We start from the raw sequence: 8,530 nt of genomic DNA, 5'->3' as shown, positions 1-8,530 counted from the left end.
GTGTGTGTATGTGTGTCTACCCTGAGCTGAGTGGGTCTGTGGATGGGCCTGGGAATTGGATGTCTAGTAAATTCTCAGGCAAGGCTGATGCTGCTATCCTGTCGAGCAACGCTGAAAGACACACAGATGAATAATCAGGTATATTCGTCAGAACTCTATTACGCATGATAAAGAGCAATTCATTAACACAAGCAAAAGTGGAAATTTCTATTTATAGAACTTGGGAAGGATCAAAGGAAGAACTGCCTGAAATAGAAGCTCAGAGATTGGAATCAAGTACTCACAGTCTTCTGGAAACCTCTTTGCTTCTTCCACTTCTGTGTGGTTCTGCTCAGCTGTGTTCTGCAGAGGCCTTTTTCTTGACCAGTGAATGTGGCTAATGATAACCTGGATTTTTATCTTCTCATTTAAAGATGCCAACAGAAAGAGACACTCGTACATCAGTCCCAGGGAAAGGCTCTAATTGATGCCACTGAGACCCAGGCCTCAGTCTCTACTGTTCCCAGGGACATGGGCCATGCCTAGGATCAGAAAGGAGGGGTCTAATATTAGAAGTGGAAAGAGAAATGCTGCCAGGCAAATGTAAAGCAATGGTCCCCATGTACCCTGGAATAGTTACATATTACTGATGAATGCTCTCATGGGGCAAGCACAAGGAGCTTAATGAGCACTTAGAATTGCCACAGACCAGACGAAGTAAATCTTAAAGCTGAGACCATGTATGAGTGTTAGATATGTGAAGACAGGCACAGTAGTCTTGATAGACAAAGGGATAGTATGTCTGGAGTCCACCTACTAGAGGAGGGAGGAGGAGAGGAAGGAGCAAAAGAGAGAGAGAAACAGGGAGAAAGAGAGAGAAGTCACCCGTGTGGTTCAGGCTGGAATTTAGTGGCTCATCTGACTGGCCACTTCTGTACTGAACGGGACATTTTGATTGCAACTATACTGGAACTAATAGGAATCATCTGGGTTTATGGAGGGAACAGATTCCTTGAAGATATAAAAATGATAATGGAACAGAGGTGGATATTCCTGCTGCAGTGGAAAACTTGCTGGTTTGTCATTATGTCTATATGACATTATGCCTATTATTTTTATTGCAATTTTTATCTGGACACTAGTGAAATATCATAGACTTGATTATGCCAAAATCTTGTGCCCTGACTGAGAAGTTGCTCAAGGCTGGTGTATGATTATTTTCTGTATTATTGCATTTCAATTATGGCTATCATAGAAATAATTCAGGCTGAAGGAAACATCTTTCTGTGTGTTGTAAGCTGCTGTAAAACAGTTTTCAACTAGAGCCCATACCTGGAAGGACATCATGGGGAGAAATAAAAAGGCACAGTAGATCCTTAAATAAAAGAGACTTGACCAGGAAATTCCTACTGTTGGTGGCAGAGGAAAACCAGAATAAGATCTCACTTAATACCTCATACAAAGTTGTACACCAGGTGGATTAGAGACTTAATTATAAAAAATATATACAAGTTTGCATTTGTATAGTGGGGTGTGTGTGTGTGTGTATGTGTGTGTGCGCACGCATGTGTGTATGTTTAATAGAAGAAAATACAGGAGAATATCATTTTGAATGAAAATTTCGGAAGGACTTTTTAGAGAACTTGAAAAACACAAAGTGTAAATCATAAAGTAATAAACTCAAGTACATTGAAATTAAAGATTTTGGTTAAGAAATGTACAAAGGGATATATATATATACCTATACAAATATATACTTTGGACCTCAGATATAAAGGTTTAAGTAAGTAATACTTCTCAGCTAAGTGTATGTTATCATATTGGTCAATACAACGCCCCTCTATTAATTTGTTTATTTTTTGTTTGCTTTATTTGCTGTGTCTGCCCTTTATCTTTATTCCATACTCCTATTCCCCTTTCTACCAACATCAGAAGTGACTATTCTTAAGTGTTGGTTTTGTACATCTTTACTCATAACTATTCATGATTTTATATTGTTTTGGGTGGTAAATTCTTAAAGCATTTAAATGCTATTACATTATATATTTTAGGGTTTTTTTATCTTACCTTTTTTTTTCAATTTTCATTTATGTTGCTCTGTGTATAATGAATCTCTTTCATTTTGTAAAGTTCTACTGTGCCCTATATCTCATTTTATTTATTCCACTAAACTCAACTTCAGGTAGCCCAATAAATTCCAAACAGAAAAAAGAAAATTTAAAAAATCTACTCCTAGCCACATCATAGTATCATAGCTTTCTACTCATAGCCACATCGTCGACCAGAAGATAACATTATTTAGAGTGATCTGATTTCTTAGAAACGACTATTAATGCCAGAGAAGAAGGAAATATTATCTCAAATGTGCTGGAATTAAATAAGTTCTATCCCAGAATTCCAGGTTCTGCATGGTTTTTTAGAATAAAAATGAAAACAATACTTTTGGGGAAGAAAAAACTTTACCATCAACAGATTTTTATAAGAAAAATTAAAAAGACATATATTTGGCAGAAATAGAATCTCAAAAGATTTAAAATAGAATTTGAAAGACATTATGGGTATAGACATTAATATATTATATTAGGCATTAATGTATTATATATAGTTAAATATATTTTTATATAGAATATAATCTAAGCATTCATTGATGTATTAAAAACGGTAATTCCTAATGTGTATGTATGTGGTAGGGGTGGTGACAGAATAAACATTAAAAAATAAAAAAATGGAAAATAATGTAATTTGAAATAAAAGAAGTAATGAAAATTAAAATATTTTAAGGTTCTATTGAAAAGAAAATAAAGATTTTGATTAATTTATACTATATTATATATCTTTTAAAAAATTAGGCTATCCACTATAAGAATAAATAAAGAACATGTAACTTCCAAAAAAGCAGAGGAAATAAAATATAATGAGAATAAAGATAAAGAAGGCTGTAACAATCCAAAAATGAAAATCAAAGGTAAAGAAAACTTTAAAACCAGGTTGACAGGAAGCACTTAATGTTAGAGATAGATACAAATATACTAATAATAATAAAAAAAGGATAAACCAAATTTTCAGTTAAAATACAACTACATTTCAGGATGTGCAAAAATAAAAGCAAGAAAAGGTATCTATTGTTCTCAAGACAAAACAATTACAATTATGTAAAGAGTTAAAGGATAAGAAAGCATACCAGGAAAATATCAATCAGAAGAAAAGCCGTGTAGCTAGATAAGATAGATATTTTAAAAATATATAGTTAAAGTAAATGAGTCTATAATTATATACATTCAATGTAAAAGGAAGATATAACAATTCAGACCTTGATATATCTAAAAGCAAGGCTTGGGATATATACAATATTAATTATACGTTAGGCTACAAAAATAATTGAAAATTTTACATAATGAGTTTTAAACAAATATCCTTCAGTAAGTTATTCCTCAGGGTGACTAAAAGAAAAAAAAAAGGAAAGAAAAAGAAAAAATAAAAAAAGAAGGAAGTTTAAGGTTTTGAGTAGGAAAATAACCTTTATCAAACATATATAAAATGTTTTACACAATAACTTGAAAATGTATTTTTATAAACATATTATTTTTCAAAATTTTCCACGTGCTTTAACTCTCAATACATTTTGAAGATTTGCATTATAAGAACCACATTTTCTGACTACAATGTAATTAAGTTAAAAATACATAATTAAAATAAAATGGAAATAAAAATACACACATATATATTTAAAAATTAAAAAGTAAACTTCTAAAAAGCTCATGAATCAAAGGTAAATTAGAAACTGTCTTGCACTACCTGAAAATAAAAATGCTATAACCAAAACTTGTGGAAAATGAGAAGCTCTGCTTAGAGGGCAATAACTAGCATAGCAACCAAGAAAACCCAAAACAAAAAACCCCACAGAATATCAGGAGACAGCTAGGCCAAGCTGCATTTAATCAGAGAAGCAGGAATTATTATTATTATTGTTGTTATTATTTTTTGAGACAGAGTCTGGCTCTGTCGCCCAGGCCGGAGTGCAGTGGCGCGATCTCGGCTCACTGCAAGCTCCGCCTCCCGGGTTCCCGCCATTCTCCTGCCTCAGCCTCCTGAGTAGCCGGGACTACACGCGCCCGCCACCACGCCCGGCTAATTTTTTGTATTTTTAGTAGAGACGCGGTTTCACCGTGTTAGCCACTAAGGTCTTGATCTCCTGACCTTGTGATCCGCCCACCTCAGCCTCCCAAAGTGCTGGGATTACAGGCGTGAGCCACCGCGCCTGGCCAGAAGCAGGAATTATTGATACGGAGTGCAGGGGAGTGAAGAGCGTGGTCCCCTCAAATGATACCGAAGTGTGGAAGGGAAGTGCTGGGTAGAAGAGGGCGTGGTCCCTGGCTAGGGCTCCACCCCCACGGACCTGGGTGAGGATAGGCATTTCCTGTCCAAATATTGCATTGCCCAATATCACCCCGGCCTGCCACACCCCCATCCTGTGCCTATAAACTGCCCTCAGACCTTAGCAGGCAGGCACACAAGCTGCTGGACCTGCAGAGGAGCCTATCTGCAAACCCAGACATCTGGACGTGGAGAGGAGCGAATTGGTGGAGGAACACACAGGTGGCTGGATGTTAAGAGAAGCACATCAGCAGGCCCTGGGATGCGGGCAGGCCACGGACCAGCAGAAGGAGAGGCTGAGTTTGGCTGGGACAGTCAGAGGAGAGCCCGGGCCAGGGAGCAGCCTGACTCCAAGGAAAAAACCATCTCCCTTCTGGCTCCCCCGTATGCTGAGAGCTACTTCCAGTCAATAAAACTTTGAACTCATTCTCCAAGACCACGTGTGATCCGATTCTTCCAGTACACCAAGGTAAGAACCCCAGGATACAGAAAGCCCTCTGTCCTTGCCATAAGGCAGGGGTCTACTTAAGCTGACTAAGGCTAAACTAAAAGAGCACACTGTAACACACACCCACTGGGGCTTCGGCTGTAAACATTCACCCCTAGACACTGCTGTGGGGTCGGAGCCCCACAGCCTGCCGGTCTGTAAGCTCCCCTAGAGATTTGAGCAGGATAGCACTGCAGAAGTGAGCCACACCCCCATCTCACGTCCTGCGAGGGGGATAAGGGAGCTTTTCCTGTTTCATTATTATTAAAAAATGATTATAATTTACTGTATTAACTGATTAAAGGAGAAAACTATGTTTATTTCAACATATTTTAAAACGTGCTTCATAAAATATAATACCTACTTATGATTTTCCAAAAATGGTTCTTTTAATGAACTAGGAATTTAAAAAACCCTTCTTAATAATTAGATAAAATACTAATTAATTAGATAAATAATACTAATTAATTAGATAAATAATAATTCCTCAGATTAATATCTAAACAAAGAAAAACTTATAGCAAGTAGTGTACTTAATGGTTGGAACCATTTTCCTAATGATCAAGGACAAGTTAAAGACGCTTATTATTTTTCTTTTTAAAATACAATTCTTAAACAATACAGTAAGTCAAGGAACAGGAAAGTTTTAAAACTTGAAAAAGAGGGAAAAAATAATTATTTGTAGGTGATAACATGTTTTATTTAGCATCTATTGATCATTAGAATTTAAAGGGAATTGAGCAAGCTTCCTGCATTTGAAATCGATATGCAGAAGTCACTTGCATTTCTGAATACCACAAAAAATGTAATTTTAAACAATGCTGCTGGTATGGGTTGAACTGTGTTCTTCAGAATGACATATTGAAGTCCTATTCCCTGTTATGTATGAATGTGACCTTGTTTGGCAACAGGGTCTTTGCAGATATAATCCAGTTAAGATGCAGTCTTTAGGGTGGGCTTTCTTCCAATATTTCTGGTGTCCTTATGGGAAGAGGAGATGAGACACAGAGACATAAGCAGAGGGAAAACATCATGTGATGACCAGTGTAGCTGCAGTCTTGGAATAATGAAGGTGCAGGCCAAGAGAGAAATGTAAAGTTTCTACAGCCGCTACCACATGCTAAGAATAGGCAAGGAAGGATTCTCCTCAAAGTTATAGAGGAAGCATGGTTCTGCTGACAGCTTGAAATTTGACTTCTGTTCTACAGAACTATGAGAAAATACCTTGTACACTGTTGGTGAGAATATACATGACGTCACCGTCATGGAAAACAGTACTGAGGTTCCTCAAAAGATTAAAAATAAAATTACCATATAATTATGGTACTTGTGGCATTATATAAAAATTATTTTATGTATAAAATAATTTAAAGCACGATCTGGAAGAGATATTTGCACACCTGTGTTCATCAAAACATCAGTCACAACAGACAAGAAATGGAAGCAACCTAAATGCTCATTGAGAGATGAATGGGTAAAGAAAATGTGGCATATACATACAAAAGAGTTTCCTGCAACCTTAAAAGGAAGGAAATCCTGTTGCATGCTGGAACATGCATAAGACTTGAGGACGTTAGGCTATGCAAAACAAGCCAGTCACAAAAGGACAGACACTGTATGATTCTACACATATGAAGTATCTTAAGTAGTCAAAAATCATAGAAACAGAAAACAGGTGGTTACCAAGGGCTGAGTTGGGGAGGGTAGAAGGGATTAGGGCTTAGGCCATATAGAGATTCAATGTTGCAAGAGGAAACATTTTTAGAGATCAGTTGCACAATAATGTGAGTATAGGTAATAATACTCATGAATTGCATCCTTAATGGTTAAAATGATAAATTTAATGTTATGTGTTTTTTACCACCACTAACAAGGCAAACAAAACTTGAGGATTGATATTCAAGTCTTGGCCGGGTTACTAAACTTGAAATCACATTACCCTTGAATAACTGAAAAAAAAAAAAAAAAAAAAAAAGCCAGCACATTGGCTCACGCCTGTAATCCTAGCACTTTGGGAGGCCGAGGCGGGCAGATCACAAGGTCAGGAGTTTGAGACCAGCCTGACCAACATGGTGAAACCATTGTCTCTACTAAAAACACAAAAATTAGCCGGGTGTGGTGGCACATGCCTGTAATCTCAGCTACTCAGGAGGCTGAGGCAGGAGAATTGCTTGAACCCAGGAGGCGGAGCTTGCAGTGAGCAGATATCGCACCACTGCATTCCAGCCTGAGTGACAGAGTGAGACTCCGTCTCAAAAAAAAAAAAAAAAAAAAATTCCCTGTTAAAAAGGTACCATAAATGAAAAATGAAAAGACAAGCTACAAAGAGTATTTGCAATATATATTACTGACAAAGTTTTGGCATCCAAAATATATTTAAAAATTTCTAGAAATCAATGAGAAATAGACAACCTAGTGTAAACATGGGTGAAACATATAAACAGATATTGTGTAGATGAAAAAATACAAATGGCCCATAAATGAATGAAAAGACGCTCAATCTCTTCAGTTTTCTGAGATTCTAATTAAAACCAACTAAAGCCACAATTAGATATAATTTTACATCCACGAAATTTATCCAAGTTTTTTTTAAAGCCATAAAATACTAAGCATTTTGGATATCAGAGAGCAGTGGAATCTCTTGTTCATAAGAGTGAAAATGGGTATAAACCAACTTGGTATAAACCAGCATTATGCAGTAAAGCTCAGTGTATCCTAAGAATCAGAAACTGCTCTTGGATGTATTCATTCACACTCTTGCCTGTGCAGTCTAAGAGATGTGCAGGAAGAGGCTTACGGTAGCTTTTAAATAATAATAAAATGAACTAACACAAAACCTGAAAAGGTCTATCAGCAGTGGAAAGAAAACATGAATTGTGGTTTATTCAAATAACAGACTATTATAAAACAGTTATTGTGAATGAACCAGTCACTTGCATAATGTTAGTGAGTCTCAAAAAATATTCCAAATAAAAGTAGAAAGTCACAGAAGACAACTAATGTTGATCTCACTTATGAACTCAAATTACATTTTTATTTAAATTTAAAAACCCAATATAAAGCAATATATTATTCATGAACATATCTACAAGTGATAAAATATAATGAAAAGACGATATTATCACAAAAATCAGATTTGTGGTTACATCCAAGAGTGAGGGTTGTGGATTCTTTGAGATACAAGAGTATTCTATTTCTTAAGTTGGTGGAGGGTAAGTACATGTTCAGTCTTATTATCTGCAAAATGTATATGGATACTCTGTATGGTCCTTTTTATGTATCATATACTTTTGGAGCTGGATAGGACCCACTTCCATGAGGAACCAAATTAATGGTATTCACTCGGATGCTGCTGGAAATAAACCTTATTAAGAAAATGGTTTGAACCTGTTACCTAGCAGCTGCTACTCATTGTCTATGAAGCTCCAGGTAAAGTTTTAAGTTTCCAAAGCTGCTTCTTGATCAATAATTCCCCAAACCCCACTGGCTCTGAGGCTGCCAATTTGTCATTTACTTTAAAGCCAGGCCCCAATGTAATGATTGCTGATTAAAGGAGGCCTCCTCACCCATAACTTCATTATCACCCAGTTTGCAGGGGGAGCGTTGGGTCCTGGAATGAACTGAAAGCCAGCCAAAGCAAATTTATGACCTTGCATACTGTATCGATTTTGATGGGAACAAAAGCAGAGA

The 8,530-nt window shown here is 36.5% G+C and overlaps 1 pseudogene, besides 1 other annotated feature; it reads left to right on the top strand.

Moving 5' to 3' along the window:
• On the top strand, window positions 869-1,414 carry SLC6A14P3 (SLC6A14 pseudogene 3; annotated as a pseudogene).
• Window positions 4,034-4,534: an enhancer, noted in NCBI's record as "H3K4me1 hESC enhancer chr2:127065865-127066365 (GRCh37/hg19 assembly coordinates)". NCBI's record gives its function as "activates a minimal SCP1, AML or CMV promoter by ChIP-STARR-seq in primed H9 embryonic stem cells {active_cell/tissue: H9 hESC(primed)}" and the evidence as "EXISTENCE:reporter gene assay evidence [ECO:0000049][PMID:30033119]".

The sequence above is a fragment of the Homo sapiens genome, chromosome 2 (assembly GCF_000001405.40).
Source record: "Homo sapiens chromosome 2, GRCh38.p14 Primary Assembly".
Lineage (NCBI taxonomy): Eukaryota > Metazoa > Chordata > Mammalia > Primates > Hominidae > Homo > Homo sapiens.
This window is presented reverse-complemented; position numbering and strand designations above follow the sequence as displayed.